The 23,262-nt window shown below is 43.1% G+C and overlaps 1 annotated feature.

Annotated features, from left to right (window-relative positions):
- Positions 5,164 to 5,331: a silencer, noted in NCBI's record as "fragment chr8:42671563-42671730 (GRCh37/hg19 assembly coordinates)". NCBI's record gives its function as "represses an EF-1alpha promoter that drives an FKBP-Casp9 reporter gene in an ReSE screen in K562 erythroleukemia cells {active_cell/tissue: K562}" and the evidence as "EXISTENCE:reporter gene assay evidence [ECO:0000049][PMID:32094911]".

The raw sequence follows: 23,262 nt of genomic DNA on the forward strand, positions 1-23,262 counted from the left end.
TCAAGCAGTCCTCCCACCTCAGCCTCCCAAGTAGCTGTGATTATAGATGTGCACCACCATGCTTGGCTAATTTTTATTTTTCGTAGAGATGGGGACTTGCTATGTTGCCTGGGGTAATTTTTTTTAATTAAAGCATGACTTTCACATGAATATAAAGTGAACATATGTCAAAGATTTTTTAACTCGTTCATAAGGGTACCAGCAGGATGATAAAGCTGGTTCAGAGTGTTTGAAAGACATGCTGGAATACAATGGCTACATTAGATACAAAACAGATTAATACCCTACTGGTGATAAAACTGCAACCTTTGGAGTTATCTCTTTTACTGAACAGAAATCATAGGCATGCATACTCACAAAAATCTGCCAGTTAGCATGCAACTTCAAAGACTCTTAGTCCTGGATCAAGAGTAAATAATAAATTAAACAAAAGGTACAATTTCTTAGAGAACTTAACAGTCTTTGAGGGAGCCCATTAGATGCGCTCTGGCATGGCATGGAAGGGACGTGCAGTCATCCTTTGCCTTATTTCCATGTTTTGGATAACTTTTCTGGACAGTTTAACTGTTGAATGCCTATTGTGTGCTGTGCACTCTGGTAGGGGACTAAGGTGAATAAGACTTGACTTTATTTTCAAGTATCAACTTTTGTAGAGAAAGACAGCCAGATGGCTGGGTGTGGTGGCTCACGCCTGTAATCCTAGCACTTTGAGAGGTCAAGGCATGTGGATCACAAGGTCAGGAGTTCGAGACCAGCCTGGCCAATGTGGTGAAACCCCGTCTCTACTAAAAATACAAAAAAATTAGCCGGGCGTGGTGGCACATGCCTGTAATCCCAGCTACTTGGGAAGCTGAGGCAGGAGAATTGCTTGAATCCGGTAGGTGGAGGTTGCAGTGAGCCGAGATCACACCACTGCACTCCAGCCTCAGTGATAGAGACTCCATCTCACAAAAAAAAAAAAAAAAAAGAAAGAAAGACAGCCAGATAAACAACTAAGTTCAGTAACATACTACAGGTAGCCTGACAAAAAGTCTCCACAGAGCTCAGGGGAGCACTGAGGAGGGGATAGTCAGGTCTACTAGGAAACCACAAAGGTCAGAGGCATTGCCCTGCTGCTGGAGAACCGATCAAAGGCAAGAAGACATAAAACAGCCGGTCATTTTACTTGTCACAGCCATTCACTATGGCCTTTAATCTGTTCATGCTGTTCTGAAGGGCCACTTAGGTGCTTTGTGTAATATCACTTACGCTTTGTGTAATATCTACACAATACTACAAAGCCACTTACGCTTTGTGTAATATCAACATTTCAGCAACATCCAGGCTTGGAATGAAGAAATGCTGTAAAGTATAAGAGATTGTGTTATACTTTTTTTGCAAAAAATAAGAGGCAGTGGGCAGCTGATGGCATTTGTAAGAATCAGGAGGCTGGGTGTGGTGGCTCACACCTGTAATCCCAGCACTTTGGGAGGCCAAGGTGGGCAGATCATGAGGTCAAGAGATTGAGACCATCCTGGCCAACCTGGTGAAATCCCGTCTCTACTAAAAATACAAAAAAATTGGCCAGGCGTAATGGCTCACGCCTGTAATCCCGGCACTTTAGGAGGCCAGGGTGGGTGGATCACCTGAGATCAGGAGTCTGAGACCAGCCTGACCAACATGGAGAAACCCCGTCTCTACTAAAAATACAAAATTAGCCAGGCGTGGTGGCACATGCCTGTAATCCCAGCTACTTGGGAGGCTGAGGCAGGAGAATCGCTTGAACCCGGGAAGCAGAGGTTGCGGCAAGCCAAGATTGTGCCACTGCACTCCAACCTGGGCAACAAGAGTGAAACTCCTTCTCAAAATAAAAAAAAAAGCAAAAAAATTAGCTGGGCATGGTGGTGCACACCTGTAGTCCTAGCTACTCGGGAGGCTGAAGCAGGAGACTCGCTTGAACCCGAGAAGCAAAGATTGCACTGAGTCGAAGTTGCAGTGAGCCAAGATTGCGCCACTGCACTCTAGCCTGGAAACAGAGCGAGACTCTGTCTAAAAAAAAAAAAAAGAAGAATGAGGAAATTTGACATTTGGAACCCACATTCAAATCCCATTTGCTAGCTGTGAGACCTTGTGTAAGTTCATGAACCTCTCTCTGTGAGTCCTTCGTGGAAAAGGGTCATAGATCCACCCATTACTGGGGCCATGAGGTGTACATGAAGAATAGTGTTTATCTGGAAACTCACAGGGAGAAAGGCCACAGACTCCAAAGATCCCCTGTCCTTGTGCCACCTACGAGCTGGGTTGGGCATGGGTGGCTGGTGCCATGGTCTGGATATGGTTTGTTTGTCCCCACCAAAGCTCAATTTGAAATTGGATCCCCAGTGTGGTGGCGTTTGGGAGGTGGGGGGGCCTGGTGGGAGATATTTCGGTTCCAGATCCCTCAGGAATGGCTTGGTGCTGCTCTCAGGGTAGTGAGTTCTGGCTCTCTGAGACTGGATTAGTTCACATGGGAATGGATTTGTTCCCATAAGAGCGGGTTGCTATAAAGCCAGGAGACTCCTCAGCTTTCCCCCTCTTCACTCGTGTCCACTTCCCTTTGACCATCTCTGCCATGTTGTGACGTGGCACAAAAGCCCTCACCAGAAGCCAGGGCCATGCCCTTGAACTTCTCAGCCAGCAGAATTATGAGCTAAATAAACCTCTTTTCTTCATAAATTATCCAGGCTCAAGTATTCTTTTATAGCAACACAAAATGGGCTGAGCTAGTTGGACTCACCATGCAAGCACCCAGTAGGGGACATCCCTCCCATATTAACACAGTATGTGGAGGGCTGGGGGGTGCAGAGGGAACTTAAGTGAAGCCATAATTATGGGAACCTCCAATACTAGGAAATGACCTTTTTAGAATGACGGACCTCTAGACGCAGCCTCCAGTTTCCGTGTGTAGGGCCTGCTAGTCAGCTTCTTGCCAAGTAGGCTGTTGCCCTCTGGAGCCACCTGGACTGGTCTCCCCTCAGCTCGTCTATGATTTTGGAGGGTTACTATTAACACCTGCTTCACAAGGTTATCATGAGGCTGCAGTGTAGCAGCAGGCACCTCATAAATGACAGCTGTGTGGCCCGTTTCACCAGCGTGGCTTACATCACCCCACCTCATGTTTATTTCTGAGTGATCACTCAACTCACCACGTGCTCGTCAGCCCATGGGCTCCTGTCCCAAAGTAGGAATCAGATGCAGGCAGGCGCCAAACCTGCAGTGCAAACAGCCTGCAGGGGAAGGGGTGGGGATGCCATTGCGGCCGCAGAGTCAGTGCTGAGAACTGCCCTGGGGCAGCCACAGCACAGCACTGGCCCTTGCTCCTCTGTGACCCCACAGCGAGGACCACTCCCCATCACAGCCACTGCAGGGTGACCCCTCACTCAGCTCCAGCCCGGTCAAGGCTGCCCGTGCACTTGAGTTCACACTCGCGCTGGCTGGGTGTGATGCCGCCCGAGCACACCGCTCTAAGGAGGAGGAAGATGAAGCGGGACTTTCACCCCCTGCCCTGGGTGGTCTCTCTCTCACCAGGCCTGGGCTCCGTTTCTTCAGACTGCGCTTCCCCGGAGAAGCCCTTGGGGCTTTCCCTGCCTATAGACGGCACTCGGTCCCTCAAGAAGTTCTGATACTGTTGGGTCTCCAAGGGGAAGGAGTCCATAGTTCTCCTGAAACTGCCAAGGTCATGAAAAACAAAGTCTGGTGTGAGGACAGAACGCAATGCAGCTCCCAGAACAGAAAAAGGACGCTAAGTGGAACAGCGGTGACCTCAGAATACAGTTGGGAATTTAGTTCAGAGTAACGCACTAGTGTTGGTCGCTTAGTTTTAACAAAGCTACCATGCTCTTGTAGGGCGAAATCATTAAAGGAAACTGAAACTGGATGGGAAATACATAGGAACTTCGCAAATGTTCTTTCTCCCTCCCTCCCTCTCTCTCTCTCTTTCTTTTTCTTTCTTTCTCTTTCTTTCCCCTTCCTCCCTCCCTCCCTCCCTCCCTCCCTCCCTTCCTTCTTTCCTTCCATTTCTTTTTTTCTAATTTTGTAGAGACAGGGTCTCACTCTGTTACTCAGGCTTGTCACAAACTCCTGGGCTCAAGAGATCCTTCTGCCTTGGCCTTCCAAGTAGCTAAGACCACAGGTGCACACCACCACACCCAGCTAAGTTTTTAATTTTTTTTTTTTTTTTTTTTTTTTTTGTGGTAGAGATAGGGTTTCACTATGTTGCCCAGGCTGGTCTTTAACTCCTGGGCTCAAGCAATCCTCCTGCCTTGCCCTCCCAGAGTGCTAGGATTACAGGTGTGAGCCACCAGGCCTGGCCAAATTTTCTATACATCTAAAATTATTCCGAAATTTAAAAGTTTATTTTTAAAGAGAGAAAGAGAAAGGGCCCAGGTTTTAGTCTCTTACTGTGCAGGAAAATCCCTGGTCCTTATACAAATATATTTACCTCTTTCTTATCTACCAGTTTCTTTAAAAAAAAAAATTCTTTCACAGGGCAACCTAGTCAAACCAAAAACATGGACATGTTTCCTCTATGCATACAGTACCTATCTGCACACATTTACCTAATACACGATAGGTGATTCTTCCCAGATTAGAGAAAAATCTGCTCCAGGAGGACTGAGAAGGAGCTGAAATTCCTAAATAGCAGCCTCTTTCACTAAGAAAATGTAAAAGTCAGCCTAACCATATTCTCCCTTACAGCAACCACACTTACAGGGCTTTTTCAGGCTGGAGTGCAGTGGTGTGATCACAGTTCACTGCAGCCTCAAACTCCTGGGCTCAAGCGATCCTTTTACTTTGGCTTCCTGAGTAGCTCAGATTACAAGTGTGCACCATCATGCCCAGCTAATTTTTAAAATTTTTTGTGGAGGTGGGGGTCCCATGATGTTGCCCAGTCTGGTCTTGAACTCCTGACCTCGAATGATCCTCCTGCCTTGGCCTCCCAAAGTGCTGGGATTACCAGCATGAGCCACTGTGCCAGGGCTACTCTTACTGTTGATATGAACCAATAAGAATAAAATAGTCACTATGTATTTCTAGAAGATTAATAAACAAACAAAGAGGCCGGGTGTGGTGGCTCACGCTTGTGATCCCAGCACTTTGGAAGGCTGAGGCGGGCGGATCACACGGTCAGGAGATCAAGACCATCCTGGCTAACACGGTGAAACCCCGTCTCTACTAAAAATACAAAAAAACCCAAAAAAATTAGCTAGGCATGGTGGCGCATGCCTGTAATCCCAGCAACTTGGAAGGCTGAGGTGGGAGAATCGCTTGAACCAGGGAGTCGGAGGTTGCAGTGAGCCAAGATCACGCCACTGCACTCCAGCCTGGCAACAGAGCGAGACTCCATCTCAAAAATAAATAAATAAATAAATAAACAAACGAAGAGATACTTACTTACAAATCTTGACCCACGGAGAAGTATCATGAGCCTCTTCTAATCGGAAGCATTTGTCTAGATCTCTCTTAGGATAAAATGACAGCAAAATGAGCTATCTCATCCAGTGCATATGCATTAATTACATTCTGTGTGGTTGCCTTTTTATTGGTGAGAACTATCAAATGACTTAGCTGTAAGTATGTTGGTAAAGCGTTAAACAGCTTTCGCCTTGATCTTCAATGTCCTGTATCATAGCAGTGCGGCCAGCAGTCCCAGGATGAGCAAGTGCTAACCCTCCAGGCATCTTGTATCAGATGATATGGACATAAGACACTTGGCCCTCCAAATGGCTTAGTCTGAACTGGTGCTGCCATCAGGCCCCCAAGGGAAAACGTGAGTCATGATTTTTCTAGACATCCTTGAAAAATGGACGTTCCAAAAGTCAGGAAAGAATGAGAGTTTCAAATGAAAAGTGACAGAGGAATTAGTCAATGGTTATCACTCAGTATCCAGCAATTGTCCCAAGCCAGAAGTTGATCAATGATTGAAATTTTCCCAAAATTCCCTAGATGAGAATGTAGGCAAGAAGCCCAAATCCCCTGTGCCTCATCAGCTGGCAGAGCCGTTTGATGCATCTGTCTGAGTAAGCTGAGCGGTGACCTGGCTCCACAGGGTCCCCTCGAGATGGAGAAGGGGACCCAGCTGACAACCAGGAGTCCTGCCTTAGATGGTAGAATGGGGAAGGGATGGGGTGGGCACACTGTAGAGCCTCCTGAGCACCTAGTCCCAAAATGAGTTCGATTTTAGGACGTTACATATTCTGAATGTTAAATTTGAATGTGTAAGTTAGGAAGTGTACCAGTCAAGGTTCTTGGTGAACAGAAATCAGATCTGGGTAACTTACACACATAAAGAAATGCCCATGTTTCATTGATTCTTAAACACGCTTTTTTTTTTTTTACACTTGTAACATCTTTTTAAATCAGAAGCATCTTCCAATAGATGATGCCTTGTCACTGCTGTTGGCCAGGTACAGTCATGACAATTGCCATATGCTATCAACATATGTGAACTTGGTTGATTTTCCGATTGGCAGGATGGAAAACTGCAGCCCCAGATGGCTCTGCCAAGAAGCCATTTTAAGGTCCATTTGAGGAAAGAACATGAGTCCTGGATTTTGTCTGATAATCTTCTCTTAACACCTTATGGTAAGATCAAGAAAGTGTTACTATCACAGCTTAAATAGCTGCTATCAGGGACTTGGAAGGAAATTTAGGAGACAATAGTAGAACATTATTTTATTATTTATTTATTTATCTTTGTTTTTAGAGACAGGGTCTCTCTCTGTGGCCAAGGCTAGAGTGCGGTGGAGCAATCAGAGATCACTACGGCCTCAACCTCCTGGGCTCAAGTAATTCTCCTTCCTCAGCCTCCCAAGTAGCTGGGACTATGGGTGTGCACCACCATGCTCAGGAAATTAAAAAAAAAAAAATTTGTAGTGATGGAGTCTTCCAATGTTGCCCAGGCTTAGAACACTCTTTTAATAAATGCTGCATCACCGAAGTTCTTAATAACGCAGAGAACAATGTTGTAGGGGGAAAAAATGTTTGTCAAAGACTCTTAAAGATCATACTCTGAATCAGGAGTTCGAGACCAGCCTGGCCAACACAGTGAAACCCCGTCTCTACAAAAAATGCAAAAAAAAAAATTAGCTGGGCATAGTGGCGGGAGCCTGTAATCCCAACTTCTCTGGATACTGAGGCAGGAGAATCTCTTGAACCCGGGAGTCAGAGGTTGCAGTGAGCCAAGATCGCGTCACTGCCCTCCAGCCTGGGCGACAGAGCTAGACTCTGTCTCAAAACAAAAACAAAAACAAAAACAAAAACACATACTCTGAATGGGGAGAAGTTTTAAAGCCCCTTAGGCAATTTATTTTTATTTTATTTTGTTTTGTTCTCTCTTTTATTTTATTTTATTTTATTTTATTTTTTGAGACGGGGTCTTACTCTGTCACCCAGGCTGGAGTGCAGTGGCACCATCATAGCTCGCTGCAGTCTTGACCTCCCGGGCTCAGGTGATCCTTCCACCTCAGCCTCCCAAGTAGCTGGGACCACAGGCCTGAGCCACCTCACCCAGCCTTGTTTTGTTTTATTTTATTTTGCTGTATTTTGTTTTATTTAGTCATACCTTTATTTATCTTTAATTAATTTTTTTTTGAGACAGAGTCTCACTCTGTTGCTCAGGCTGGGGTGCAGTGGCGCAAACTTGGTTCACTGCAACCTCCGCCTCCCGGGTTCAAGCAATTCTCCTGCCTCAGCCTCCTGAGTAGCTGGCACTACAGGCATGTGCCACCATGCCCGGCAAAGATTTTTTTATATTTTTAGTGGAGACAGGTTTCACTGTGTTAGCCAGGATGGCCTCGATCTCCTGACCTCGTGATCCACCTGCCTCAGCCTCCCATAGTGCTGGGATTACAGGCATGAGCCACCGCGCCTGGCTGGTGATGTTTTGGTACACAGAATCTTTAGTGATCAGATCAGGGTAATTAGCATATCCTTCATCTCAAACCTTTATCACATCTTTGTATTGGGAAGTTTCAATACCCTCCTTCTGTTTATTTGAAACTATATAATTTATTTTTATTATATATATAAAATATTTATTTTGATTATATATATATATAAAGTGACTGATTCTTTCAAGACAAGCCCCGCCCCCGCTCCCCCCTCCCCCGCTTACCCACCACCTTGTTTTAGCATAAACAGCTTTCCTCTCAAGCCAGGAATTCCTTCCACAATGTCGCAAACCAATGATCATGTAAGATTTTCTTTATTATGCCCAGGGATGGCAAACTCATTACTTCACAACGCGATCCATGACACTCTTGGACAAGTCTAATTATTTAAATATTTCTCCTTATAAAGGGCCAAAGTCTGCCTTCAGCTTTTCTTTCTTTCTTTTTTTTTTTTTTTTTTTTGGAGACAGAGTCTCGCTCTGTCCCCCAGGCTGGAGTGCAGTGGCTGATCTCGGCTCACTGCAAGCTCCGCCTCCCAGGTTCGCGCCATTGTCCTGCCAGCCTCCCCAGTAGCTGGGACCACAGGCCCCCGCCACCGCGCCCGGCTTTTTTGTATTTTTAGTAGAGACAGGGTTTCACCATGTTAGCCAGGATGGTCTTGATCTCCTTGCCTCCTGATCCGCCCGCTTTGGCCTCCCAAAGGGCTGGGATTACAGGCATAAGCCACCGCGCTCTGCCTGCCCTCAGCTTTTCTTTTTGAGGCTGGTTTATTTCACTTAGCGTAACGTTCTCAAGGTTCGTCTGTGTTGCAGCATTTGTCAGAATTTCCTTCTTTTTAAGGCTGAATAATCCATTCATCTGTTGATGAACACTTGGGTTGCTTCTGCCTTTTGATTATTGTGAATACTGCTGCTATGAACATGGGTGTATAAATATATCTTTGAGTCTCAGTCTTTTTTGTTTGTTTGTTTTTGTTTGTTTTTAAGACAGAGTTTCACTCTTGTTGCCCAGGCTGTAGTGCAATGGCTCAATCTCAGCTCACTGCAACCTCTGCCTCCCTGGTTCAAGCAATTCTCCTACCTCAGCCTCCCTAGTAGCTGGGATTACTGGCACGCACCACCACACCTGGCTAATTTTGTAATTTTTTTTTTTTAGTAGAGATGGGGTTTCGCCATGTTAGTCAGGCTGGTCTCAAACTCCTGACCTCAGGTGATCCACCCACTTCTGCCTCCCAAAGTGTTGGGATTACAGGCCTGAGCCACTGCGCCTGGCCGAGTCTGTTTTTTATTCTTTTCTGTACTCAGAAGGGAACTTGCTGGATTCTATCAAAGGGTAATTCTGTGTTTAATGTTCTGAGGCACTGCCCTATTGTTTTCTACAGCAGTGCACGGGGGCTCCAATTTCTCTACATCCTTGCCAACATGTATTATTTTCTATTTTTTGATAGCAGGCATCCTAATGGGTGAGAGGTGGTGTTTCATTGTGGTTTTGGTTTGTGTTTCCCTTATGATTAGTGATATTGAGCATCTTTTCATTTGCTTATTGGCCATTTGTTTATCCTCTTTGAAGAAATGTCTACTCAAGTCCTTTGCCCATTTGTTAATCAGCTTGTTTCAGACTAACATGTTTTAATTAAGAAGCTGAAACATGAAGTTTAATAGGTAAAAATTTGTACTTGTATTTTTAAATGGAAGGAAAACTGTATTTAAGAAAAAAAAGAGGCCAGGTGCAGTGGCTCACGCCTGTAATCCCAGCACTTTGAGAGGCCGAGGTGGGTAGATCAACTGAGGTCAGAAGTTTGAGACCAGCCTGGCCAACATGGCAAAACACCATCTCTACTAAAAATACAAAAATTAGCTGGGCATGGTAGTGTACGGCTGTAGTCCCACCTACTCGGGAGGCTGAGGCAGGAGAATCGCTTGAACCCAGGAGGTGGAGGTTGCAGTGAGCTGAGATTGCACCATTGCACTCCAGCCTGGGCAACAAGACTGAAATTCCGTCTCAAAAAAAAAAAACCAAAGAAACAAAGAAAGAGTAATAATAGCTTTAAAAAAAAACGGTCGGGTGCAGTGGCTCATGCCTGTAATCCTAGCAGTTTGGGAGGCCGAGGCGGGTGGATTTTCTGAGCTCAGGAGTTTGAGATCAGCCTGGACAATATAGTGAAACCCTGTCTCTAGTAAAAATACAAAAAAATTTAGCCAGGCATGGTGGTGCATGCCTGTAATCCCAGCTACTCGGGAGGCTGAGGCAGGAGAATCGCCTGAACCCGGGAGGCAGAGGTTGCAGTGAGCTGAGATCATGCCATTGCACTCCAGCCTGGGCGACAGAGTGAGACTCTGTTTCAGGAAAACAAAACAAAACAAAAAACCAGGTTGTTGGGGGAGAAGGGGCTGGGAGAAAATAGTGGAGAGAGAGGGTGGGGAAAAGGGGCATGCAGAGGGGCTGGAAAGACAGCCTTGGGGAGAAGAATGAAAAGGAGATGGTGGGGAGAAGAGGATGGGAAGACAGTGGGGAGAAGCAGGTGACAGGGTGGGGAGTAGCAAAAAAAAAAAAAAGATGATGTAGGCCAGGCACGGTGGATCACACCTGTAATCCCAGCACTTTGGGAGGCCGAGGCGGGCGGATCACGAGGTCAGGAGATCGAGAGCATCCTGGCTAACATGGTGAAACCCTGTCTCTACTTAAAATACAAAAAATTAGCCTGCTATGGTGTCAGGTGCCTGTAGTCCCAGCTACTCAGGAAGCTGAGGCAGGAGAATGGCATGAACCCGGGAGGTGGAACTTGCAGTGAGCTGAGATCGCGCCACCGCACTCCAGCCTGGGCGACAGAGCGAGACTCCATCTCAAAAAAAAAAAAAAAAAGATGATGTATATATTAAAATTTGAATTTGTCATCCATGTGTTTTAGCCTCTAGAACATCTTTGTGAATGAGGAATTTTTTTTGACATTGACATTTTCTAGACATGATCTAAAAATGTAGACTAAGTTTTCAGTGCATTGAAGATGGGGAAGGGCAATTCTTTGCCCCAGGTTTTGTGTGTGTCCATTTATGAATGAACTAAACTCATGTTTTTTCATAGCTGTGAGCCTATTCTGCAAAGAATTAGAAGCAAGTTCAAGGGTGTACAGCTTGCAGCTCAACCTTGGAAAACTTCCCTGAGGAGTTAGTACAGAACAGAAAATCCAGTTCTCTGTCCCCAGATGCATAATTCATCTGCCAGCAGAGCAGCTTTTAGATGAAAGGGCCCCAACAGAAGTTTTGGTAGAAAATGACACCAAGAAATGGTGAGTGTTTGGAGATCAGGCTCTTAAATGTTACTCAACTTTGCACAAATATTTGTAAACTTTCCACATGTCCTGAAATTTGTGCAAATAAGTTCACAAAGTCATTTCCAAATTGCTTCTAGTATTTAAAATACTTCCTCAGGGAAAGCTGGAATTCGGCATATTAGAAATGTGTAACCATTTCTTATTCTTAAGAGTCTGAAACCCTAGTTAAGCCCTGGTTTTCCAGATTGTTTGCTTTTATAAAGAATGCTGCCATATATGATAAGCATGGTTTTCTTCACCATATATATCTAGCACAAGGTGTCCAATCTTTTGGCTTCCCTGGGGCACATTGGAAGAAGAATTGTATTGGGCCACAAATAAAATACACTAACACTAATGATAGCTGATAAGCTTTAAAAAAAAGTTTTAAGAAAGTTTATGGGCCAGACACAGTGGCTCATGCCTGTAATCCCAGCATTTTGGGAGGCCATGGTGGGCAGATCTCCTGAGGTCAGGAGTTTGAGACTAGCCTGGCCAACATGGTGAAATCCCTTCTCTACTAAAAATACAAAAATTAGCCGGGCGTCGTGGTGGGTGCCTGTAATCCCAATTACTTGGGAGCTAGTACTTGAATATCACACAGAACCATAAACCGGGTGCACGTCTTCTCCTTCCTTTGTCAAAAGATCATAGGGTACTTCCCTTGAGGCCAAATGCCCAGGCTGGGAGAGAGAAGGCAGTGTAGCAGAAATAGGAACTGGAAATAGGAACCATTGGGGTCACTTCTTCATATAACTTACTTGTGCCTTTAGGACGTGCTTGGGCCCAATCATGTTTATACTACTTCCATTTGATAATGAAGTTCTTCTATGCATGCCCAACTTTATGGTTTAGTGGGTCAGATGACATCCAGTTTATAATAGGCAGCTCAGGTTGCATGGTAACTTGGCGGCCTATGGTCAAACATTCAGTTTCTACTAAAGCCCATTAGCAGGTCAAGAGCTGTCTCTCAAAACGAGAGTATTTATCTGTGGATGATGGCAGGGCCCTGCTCCAAAGTCTTAAAGGCCTGCACTGTGATTCACCTATGGGGTCCTGCCAAAGTCTCCAGACGGCATCCCTATATGGCACAGACACCACACGCACCATTAGATCCACTGGATCATATGGCCCAAGTGGCAAAGCTGGCACAACAGCCAGGACCTGTTGCAGAGCTTTCTCCTATTCTGGATACTACTCAAAACTAGCAGATTTTTGGATCACTCGTGAATGACCCAACATAACACACCCAAATGAGGAATATGTTGCCTCCAAAAATCTAAATAGGCCAACTAGGCATTGTGCCTCATTCTTGGTTGTAGGAAGGATCAGAAGCAACAACTTCATCCTTCACCTTAAAAGGAGTTTGTTCTTCTTTTTTCTGTGTCTTAAGGTTATTGAGATCTTTCTTCTTTTTAAAAATATAGGTGTTTACAGCTACAAATTTCCCTCAAAGCACTGCTTTAGCTGCATACCAGAAGTTTTAGTATTTTGTGTCTTCATTTTTATCTATGGCAAAGTATTTTCTTATTTCTCTTGTGACTTCTTCTTTGACCCATTGGTTGTTTAAACGTGTTTTAAAATTTCCACTTTCTTGTGAGTTTATCTAATTTATCGTTATTGATTTCTCATTTTATTCCATTGTGGTCAGAGAATATACATTATGTCAGCAGCCCCTAACCTTTTGGCACCATGGACCAGTTTCTTGGAAGACAATTTCTCCATGGACTGGGAGTGGGGGATGGTTTCGGGATGAAACTGTTCCACCTCAGATCATCAGGCATTAGGTAGATTCTCATAAAAAGCATGGACCCTAAATCCGTCACATGCACAGTTCACAACAGGGTTCATGCCTCTATGAGAATCTAATGTCCCCACTGATCTAACAGGAGGTGGATCTCAGGGAGTAATGCTTGCTCGCTTCACCACTCACCTCCTGCTGTGTGGCTTGGTTCCTAACAGGCCACAGACTGGTATCCATCTGTGGCCCTGGGGTTGGGGACCCCTGAATTATATGATTTAATACTTTAAAACTTAGTGAGATTTGCCGGGAGCGATGGCTCACGCCTGTAATCCCAGCACTTTCGGAGGCTGAGATGGGCGGATCATGAGGTCAGGAGATCCAGACCATCCTGGCTAACACGGTGAAACCCTGTCTCTACTAAAAATATAAAAAATTAGCCGGGCGTTGTGGTGGGCACCTGTAGTCCCAGCTACTTGGGAGGCTGAGGCAGGAGAATGGCGTGAACCCAGGAGGTGGAGCTTGCAGTGAGCTGAGATTGAGCCACTGCACTCCAGCCTGGGCGACAGAGCAAGACTCTGTCTCAAAAAAAAAACAAACTTACTGAGATTTGTTTTATGACCCAGTATGTGGTCTATCCTGGAGAATGCTCCATGTGACTTGAAAAATATATATATTCTCTATGGTTGGGTGCAATATTCTATAGAAGTTGGCTAGATCCATTTTGTTTATAGCACAGTTAAAGTTTTCTCTATCATTATTGATCTCCTGCTTAGTTGTTATATCTAATATTGAAGGTGGAGTACTGATGTCTTCAGCTGTTGTTCAATTTTTGTTGAATTCTCCCTTCATTTCTGTGAGCTTTTGCTTCATGTATTTCAGGGCTCTATTGTTAGTTGCATATGTGCTTATAATTCTTATATCTTCCTGATAGATTGACTCTGGTAACATTACAAAATTCCCTTTATATCGAATAACATTTATTTATTTATTTTATTTGGTTTTGTTTTAAGGCGGAGTCTCAAAATTTAGAACTACCTGTATGAGAAAACATGCTCTTCCACGTTTCTTGCTTGTTTACTCTTTTTTTTTTTTTTGGAGACAAAATCTCACTCTGTTGCCCAGGCTGGAGTGCAGTGGCATGATCTCGTCTCACTGCAACCTCTGCCTCCCGGGTTCAAGCATTTCTTCTGCCTCAGCCTCCCAAGTAGCTGGAACTACAGGCACGTACCATCATGCCCAGCTAATTTTTGTATTTTTAGTAGAGACAGGGTTTCACCATGTTGGCCAGGCTGGCCTTGAACTCCTGACCTCAAGTGATCCACCCACCTCGGCCTCCTAAAGTGCTGGGATTACAGGCGTGAGCCACTGTGCTCGGCCTCTAATAACATTTTTAAAAGCCTATTTTGCCTGATATTGCCATACCCACTTCACATCTGTTTTAGTTGTTGTTTGCATAGTATGTCATTTCCATCCTTTAGCTTTCAACCTATTTTTATCATAAGGCTAAAGTGTGTCTCCTGCAGACAGCATATAATTGGAGCTCGTTTTTCAATATCCAGTCTGACAGTCTCTGCCCTTTGATTAGATCAGTTCACATTAGATGCTATTATTGGTATAGCTGGATTTACATCTGCCATTTTGCCTTTTAGTCTCATGTCTTATTTCTCTAGTCTTCCTTCACTGCTTTCTTTTACATTAAGTAAACATTTCTAGTTTAATATTTTAATTATTTTAATGATTTTCTTCACTACACTTTGGACTTATTTTCTAAGTGGTTGCTATAGGGCTTACCATATATATCTTATTATAATCTACTTCAACTTACCAGTGTGATATTTTGCTGTATATAGTTCCACTACCTCTTCTCCCATTTTGTACTATTATTAATATACATGTTACATCTACATGTTACAAACCAATAATGCATTTTTATAATTATTGTAATAATTTTATGTCTTCTGAGGAAGCTCAAAAAAAGGGTGAGCAAGTATGTATGTATTTATTTTTTAATTTTTTTTTTTGAGACGGAGTCTAGTCCTGTCACCAAGGCTGGAGTGCAGTGACGCAATCTTGACTCACTGCAACCTCCGCCTCCTGGGTTCAAGTGATTCCCCTGCCTCAGCCTCCAGAGTAGCTGGGACTGCAGGCGCCCACCACCACGCCCGGCTGACTTTTTGTATTTTAGTAGAGACGGGGTTACACCATGTTGGCCAGGCTGGTCTCAAAACTCCTGACCTTGTGATCCACCCGCCTTGGCCTCCCAAAGTGCTGGGATCACGGGCGTGAGCCACCACACCGGGCCACAAGTATGTATTTATAGTTTAATTAATTTTTGATTTATTATTTGTTTCTCCACATTTCTTCCTATAGATTTAAGTTCTCATCTGGTGTTCTTTCTTTATTTCAGTACAGCTTGCTTCTCATCTGCTTCTTACTATCAAACATATTACATTTCTCTATGTTACAGGCCTAACACTAAAATTATATATACAGTTTTTGCAGTTGCTTTTAAATAAGAAAAAAGATGCAGCTATGTGTCTTTCATAATTATTTACATAATTATCTTTTTTTTTTTTTTTTTTTGAGACAGAGTCTCGCTCTGTCGCCCAGGCTGGAGTGCAGTGGTGCAATCTCCGCTCACTGCAAGCTCCGCCTCCCGGGTTCACGCCATTCTTCTGCCTCAGCCTCCCGAGTAGCTGGGACTATAGGCGCCCGCCACCACGCCCGGCTAATTTTTTTGTATTTTTAGTAGAGACGGGGTTTCACCGTGTTAGCCAGGATGGTCTCGATCTTCTGACCTCATGATCCGCCCGCCTCGGCCTCCCAAAGTGGTGGGATTACAGGCGTGAGCCACCCTGCCCAGCCTACATAATTATCTTTACTGGCAATCTTTGCTTTTTTGAATTACTGTTAGGTGTCACTTGCTTTCAGCCTGAAGAGCTTCCTCTAGTATTTATTTTAAGGTGGGTTGGCTAACAACAGATTCTATTTTTCTTTTTCTGAGAATGTTTCTACTTAATCTTCATTTTTGTAGATCAGTCTGTTTCTCCTTTTAATTCTGCCAATTTTTGTATCATATACTTTGGTGGTCTGTTATTAGGTGCAAAAATGTTTACGATTGCTATGTCTTTTGGTGTATTAAACTTTTTAATTAATATATAATACCTGCTTTGTCTCTTGTAACTTTTTTATTTAAAGTCTATTTTATCTTCTGTTAATACAGCCACCCCAGCTCATCTTGATTACTATTTGCATGAAATATCTTTTTCCATCCTTTCACTTTTAACCTGTTTGTGTCTTTGGACCTAACATGAGTCTCCTACAGGTAGCATGTAGTTGGGTCTTGGGTCTTGTTTTTATTTTTGAGACGGAGTTTTACTCTTGTTGCCCAGGCTGGAGTGCAATAGAACAATCTTGGCTCACTGCAACTTCCACCTCCCGGGTTCAAGCAATTCTCCTGCCTCAGCCTCCCTAGTAGCTGGGGTTACAGGCGACTGCCGCCATGCCCGGCTAATTTTTGTATTTTTAGTAGAGATGGGTTTCACCATGTTGGCCAGGCTAGTCTGAAACTCCTGACCTCAGGTGATCTATCCGCCTCAGCCTCCCAAAGTGCTGGGATTACAGGCATGAGCCACCGGGCCCAGCCGGGTCTTGTTCTTTTTTTAAAAAAAATCCATTCTTCTAATCTCTGTCTCTTGATTAGAAAGTTCAATACAATATATTTAAAGTAATTATTGATGAGGAGGGACCTACTTCTGTCATTTTGCTATTTGTTTTATAAATGTCTTATAGCTTTTTTGTCCCTTATTTCCTGCATTAGAATCGTCTTTGGTGTTCAGTTGATTTTTTAATAGTGAAATATTTTAATTCCTTTCTCATTTTCTCTTGTGTATAATTCTATAACTATATTCTTTGTGGTTACCTTGCGGATTACACTTAACATTGTAAGGTTATAACACTCTAATTTGATTTATGTCATCTTTTATCTCAGCTTAACTTTAATCCATACAAAAACTCTACTCTGTTACAGTTCCATCCTCAGTTATTGATGTCTCAAAATTACATCTTTATACATTGTGTGTCTAAAAATAAAAACTAATTATTTTTAATGCATTAGTCTCTTAAATTATACAGAACATATGTGAAGTTACAAACCAAAGTTACAATAATACTAGCCTTTAGACTAATAATCATCTTCTTTTAAATGTATTAGTCTCTTCAATAATGTACAAAACAAAAAGTGGCCTTACAAACTATTGTTACAACAATATCAGCTTTTACAATACCAGCTTCTGCCCATGTACCTTTACTGAGATTTTTTTTCTTCATACAACTTCAAGTCCGTGCCTGGGGTACTTTCATTTCAACCTGCAGGGCTCTCTTCAGCATTTCCTGTATGGCAGGTCTAGTAGTAACAAACTCCCTCCTTCAGCTTTTGTTTATCTGGAAATGTCCTGATTTTTCTCTCTAGAGATTTTGGTTGACAGTTTTTTCCTTTTATCACTTTGAATATATTGGCTCACTGCCTTCTGGCTTCCAAAGTTTCTGTCAATAAATATGCTGATCATTTTATTGAAGATCCTTTACATGTGATGAATTGTTTTTCTCTTGCTCTTTTAAGATGATTTCTTTTAAGATGATTTAGTTTGACTGTAAAGTCTCAGTGGGGTCTCTGTGAGTTTATTTTACTTGACATTCATTGAGTCTCTTGAATGTTTCTATTCATGTTTTTCATCAAATTTGAGATGTTTTCAGCCATTATTTCTTCAAATAATTTCTCTGCCCCTTTCTCTCTCTCTTCTTCTGGGACTTCCATAAAGTGCACACTGATCCCTTTGGTGGTGTCCCACAGGTCTCTTAGGTTCTGTTCACTTTTCTTCAGTCTTTTTTCTTTCTCTTACTCTGACTTGATAATTTCAATTGTCCCATCCTCAAGTTTACTGATTCTTTTGCCTGCCCAAATTTAAATTCTTCTAGTGAATTTTTATTTGTTTTTATATTTTTCAGCACCAGAATTGTTTTGTTTTGTTAAGGTTTTCTATTTCTTCATTGACATTTCCATTTTGTTCATACATCATTTTCTTCACTTTCTTCATGTCTTCCATTAAAGATACTTCCTAGGCTGGGCACGGTGGCTCACACCTGTAATCCCAGCACTTTGGGAGGCTGAAGCAGGTGGACCACGAGGTCAGGAGTTTTGAGACCAGCCTGGCCAACATGGTGAAACCCCAATTCTACAAAAAATACAAAAAAATTAGCTGGGCATGGTGGCACACGCCTGTAGTCCCAGCTACTCAGGAGGCTGAGGCAGAAGAATTGCTTGAACCTGGGAGGCAAGGTCACGCCACTGCACTCCAGCCTGGGGACAGAGCAAGAGTCTGTCTAAAAAATAAATAAATAAGTAAATAAAGATGCTTCCTCTAAGTATCTTTAATACTATTATTTTAACATTTTTGTTTAATAGGTATGCCATATGGTCTTTCTAAGTGATAGTTGCTGTTGGTTTATTTTTTCCCTTTGAATGGGCCATACTTGCCTGTTTGTATGCCTTGTGATTTTTGTTGAAAACAGGACATTTGAATTTTATGGTGTGGTAAACCATGGAAATCAGGTTCTCTCCCCTCTCCAAGGTTGGTTGTTATTGTTGTCTTGTTTTGGCTTTTATGGTTTTAAGCTGTCTCTGTGGCAAGCATTAGCCTGAGGTGTAAACTTAACATATTCTCAGGTCTCTTCTGAACCTGCACCCTTCTCTGACTATGCACAGTGACTTTCTAATTCCCCCTCATATGTGCAATTGTTTTTGAATGCCCTAGTCTTTAATGCCTGGCTCTCAAAAGGGTACAAAAAGAAAAACGAAGGGAGTGAGGGGAAGACACCAATCCTTTAACTTCCCTGGAAGTTGCTTTAGCTAAAGGGGAAGGGGCTTGCAACTGTCTGTGGGGTAGATGTAACAATGGCTGTTCACCTGTGTTTGCATGTCCATGATCTAAGCAGCAATCAGTGATCAGACATTAATACTGATATTTGAATTTTGGATATTGCCCACCTTGGCTTCCACAAGTCAAGTCACATGCAAGCTGCTCCTGTAGCTTGTGCACTACTTGCCATGGGGCTATGAATGGGAGATGGGTAATTGCCACCAAGCCAAGAGCTGAAATTGACCAAAATTAATCACAGTTTGTAATCCAAGCCTTACCCCTACAAGTTGCAAGCCTTCAATAGACTCCAGAGTTCCAAAATAGTTACATCAAATTTTGCCAGTCCCATTGTAGTGTAGGTAGTGAGACAGATTTCTGGTGCTTCCTACTCTGTCATCATCTTCCCAGAATCAGCCCCCTTTACCATCATGTTTGAAAGATAATTTTGCTACATATAAGATTCTTGATTGAGTTTTCCTTTCAGCACCTTGAATATGCCATCCACTGCCTTTTGGCCTCCATTTTTTCTAATGAGAAAGTCAGCTGTTAATCTTGTTGCCCTTGGAACTAGTCATTTTTCTCTTACTGCTTTCAAATTTTTATCTTTGGTTTTCAGCATTTTTTACTATTATGTCTGGGAGTGGATCTCTTTGCATTTACTCTGCTTGATATTTATTGAGCTTCTTGAGTTTGTGCTTTTTCATCAAACTTGAGAAATTTCTAGTCGTTTTTTCTTCAAGTATTTTTTCTGCTCTCCCCCTGCCCCTCTTCTTCTGGTACTCTCATTAAGCATATTTGGTGTGTTTAATGGAGTCCTATATTTCTCTGGGGCTCTGTTCATTTTTCTTCTTTTTTTTTCTGTTTTTCAGATAGCATGATCTCTACCTCAGGCTTACTGATTTTTCTTCTGCCATCTCGAACTACTGTTGAGCTTCTTCCTTTTTTTTTTTTTTTTTTTTTTTCTGTAGAGACAGAGTCTTGCTCTGTCGCCCAGGCTGGAGTGCAGTGGTGCGATCTTGGCTCACTGCAACCTCCGCCTCCCGGGTTCAAGCAATTCTCCTGCCTCAGCCTCCTGAGTAGCTGGGACTACAGGCACACCCCACCATGTCTGGCTAATTTCTTTTGTATTTTAGAAGAGATGGGGTTTCACTGCATCTGGTCTCAAACTCCTGAGCTCAGGCAATCTGCTCGTCTCAGCCTCCCAAAGTGCTAAGATTACAGGCGTGAGCCACCACACCTGGCTAATTTTTTTTGTTGTTTTTTTGTAGAGATAGGGTTTTACCATGTTGCCCAGGCTGGTATTAAACTTCTGAGTTAAAACAATCTGCTCACCTCAGCCTCCCAAAGTGCTGGGATTTCAGGCATGTGCTACTGTGCCTGGCCCTGTCTGCTCCTTTATTTCATTACTTGGCTGCACTAATTAAGTTTATATCTTCTTCAGTGTGACGTCTCTGATTTCATTCCTTAAAAGGTGCAGGCTTAGGTATACATGTAGTCACCAGGGATAACAGTAGTTTCAGCAGGTCTGTCTTTGACTGCTTATTTTGCTAACTGCTTTTGTTGGTATCACACTCAGCTGTAAGCCTCCAATTTCCAGTTGATTTCTCTATTGTTTTTGACAATGCCCCAAGGCATGAATTGCTCCACAGTGTGATCCTATTAAATTTGGGCCCCTTTGCAGGGGTTATCTGATCTGACCCCAGGAGGGCCCTTCTTTTTTTTTTTTTCTTTAGACAAAGTTTTGCTCTTGTTGCCCAGGCTGGAGTGCAATGGCGAGATCTGGGCTCACTGCAACCTCCGCACCCTGGATACAAGCAATTCTCCTGCCTCAGCCTCCCGAGTAGCTGGCATTACAGGCATGCACCACCATGCCCGGCTAATTTTGTGTTCTTACTAGAGACAGGGTTTCTCCATGTTGGTCAGGCTGGTCTCGAACTCCCAACCTCAGGTGATCCGCTTTCCTTGGCTCCCCAAAGTGCTGGGATTACAGGTGTGAGCCACTGTGATGGCCTCTGACCCCAGGAGGGCCCTTCTTAGCTCTCTCCTCCTCTGGTTCTTTCTGGTTAATTACTAGCCTACAATTTAGCTGTTGTTGTGGAGCTACTAACTTCCTCTTAATTGCTTACCACTAAATTCTCCATTGTTTTTGACAGCATCCTTAGGGTTGAACTTTCCCACAGTGTTCCAATTGTCAGTTTGGAAATAGCTTTGGAAATAGCTTCAGAGCTCTCTATTCTTTTTTTTTTTTTTAAGACAGAATCTCGCTCTGTTGCCCAGGCTGGAGTGCAGTGGCACCATCTTGGCTCACTGCAAGCTCCGCCTCCCGGGTTCACACCATTCTCCTGCCTCAGCCTCCCGAGTAGCTGGGACTACAGGAACCTGCCACCATGCCTGGCTCATTTTTTGTATTTTTAGTAGAGATGGGGTTTGACCGTGTTAGCCAGGATGGTCTTGATCTCCTGACCTTGTGATCCGCCCGCCTCGGCCTCCCAAAGTGCTGGGATTACAGGCGTAAGCCACCACGCCCGGCCAGAGCTCTCTGTTCTTATAACCTGCATCTCCCTTGGGAAAATCTGAGTCATTGCTCTTCTTGTACCCAGGCGAGTTAGAGAAAACGCCACACTTTGAGATGAATTAAGAGTCCTTTATTAGCCGGCGACCGAGAGACGGCTAACGCTCAAAATTCTCTCGGCCCCGAGGAAGGGGCGTGATTAACTTTTATATCTTGGTTTAGGAAGGGGATGGGGGGGTCTAGTTAAAACAATTTTACAGAAGTTAAGTAGTCAAAAAAGTTAAAAGGATAAATGGTTACAGGAAAGTAAACAGTTCCAGGTGAAGGGGCTTTAAGACTATTACAAGGTGATAGACACGGGGCTTTGGGCATTATCAATCAGATGAATTTTTGGGGACTGCGGATATAGCTTGCCACAGTATCTTATCAGTTAATTGCATTCTTGGATGTGCTGGGAGTCAGCTTGCACAAGTTAAGTCCTTGAGGAAGGGGCTGCCAGTGAAAGAGCCAAGATGGAGTTTGTCTGGTTCTCTTAGCTAAGGGAGAAACAAGGCCAGGTGAATAAGGAAAAAACAAGGTTGGGCATTACACTCTGGAGCTAGGAGTGAGGAAAGCGGCCTGACTCTCTGGGAGTTACATGCCTGCTTTATGGGCTCAGTTGAGACAATAGCCTCTGGTGTTCTTGGCTTACTTCTGGCATGGAAAATCCATCTTGAGTGAGGTATGGAGAGGGTGATCAAGGCCCTGTGTCTTGGCCTGCCATACCTATGGTAAAGCCTCCACCTAGAGTGGAAGTTGGGTGTAGGGAGTCCCTGACCTCTTGGCTGGACCCTCCTGGAATTTAGTCTCTGCAACACAAAGCTAGAGGGACGTGAGAATACTGGCAACCAGCCCCTCCCTGAAAGATACCATAGCCCTTGATTGGGAGTTAAGGAGTACGATCTTCTTGACCATATCCAAGAAGACTGAGTGGAGCCTCAGAGTAGAGCTTCTATAGCATTGAGTTGGGGCAGGGGTTTGGTTAGGGAGAAATGGATTGTAGCCTAAATGCCACAGACTCAATGTTCTTATGGAGATTTAGTAAACTTTCCTTATCATTTCTTCATTTGCTATATTCCCTTAGGACAACTGGCAGAGACTTTAAATGGTTATTTAAAAAAATTTTTTTCTTGCCAATACACTCTGGAAGTCATTTTTCTATTAAATTATTGTTTGTATTCTACAGTTTTACCAAAAACTAAAACAATGACGTTTATTTGTATCCTTTAGGATATTTTAAAAATAAAATTTTTATAATCTCAAGACATAAAATGCCATGAATTTAAAGAGAATAAAAATTCAACAGCTTTTTAATTTAAAAAATATTTATCATTCAGAAAAATCTCAGTAGAATAAAGCTATATCCAAGTTTTAAAAAGACAGAATTATAAGAGAACATTACCTTGAGCAAATTTTTCTATTACTTTTAAGTGTAATAGTTTTGCTTATTTGCAAAGCACTGTTGCTCTTCAATATTTTTCTTTCATGTGAGTGACTGTACTTTTAAAACACAAGACTATATAAAATCATAATGCCAAGCAACACCAGTTACCATCAGCTGGAAAATCTATTCTTTTTCTTTAAATACTATTCAGGGTGGACTATCTTTTTAAAATTCTGGAACACAAATGGATTTTAAAATATGTTGTTTACTATCAACTTTCTAAAAGCTATAGTGTTGGGTATGTGTACACATGTATACTTTTTTTTTTTTTTTGAGATGGAGTCTTGCTCTGTCGCCTAGCCTGGAATGCAGTGGCGTGATCTTGGCTCACTGCAACCTCCACCTCCCAGGTTCAAGCGATTCTCCTGCCTCAGCCTCCTGAGCA

This window comes from Homo sapiens, chromosome 8 (genome assembly GCF_000001405.40).
Source record: "Homo sapiens chromosome 8, GRCh38.p14 Primary Assembly".
Classification (NCBI taxonomy): Eukaryota; Metazoa; Chordata; class Mammalia; order Primates; family Hominidae; genus Homo; species Homo sapiens.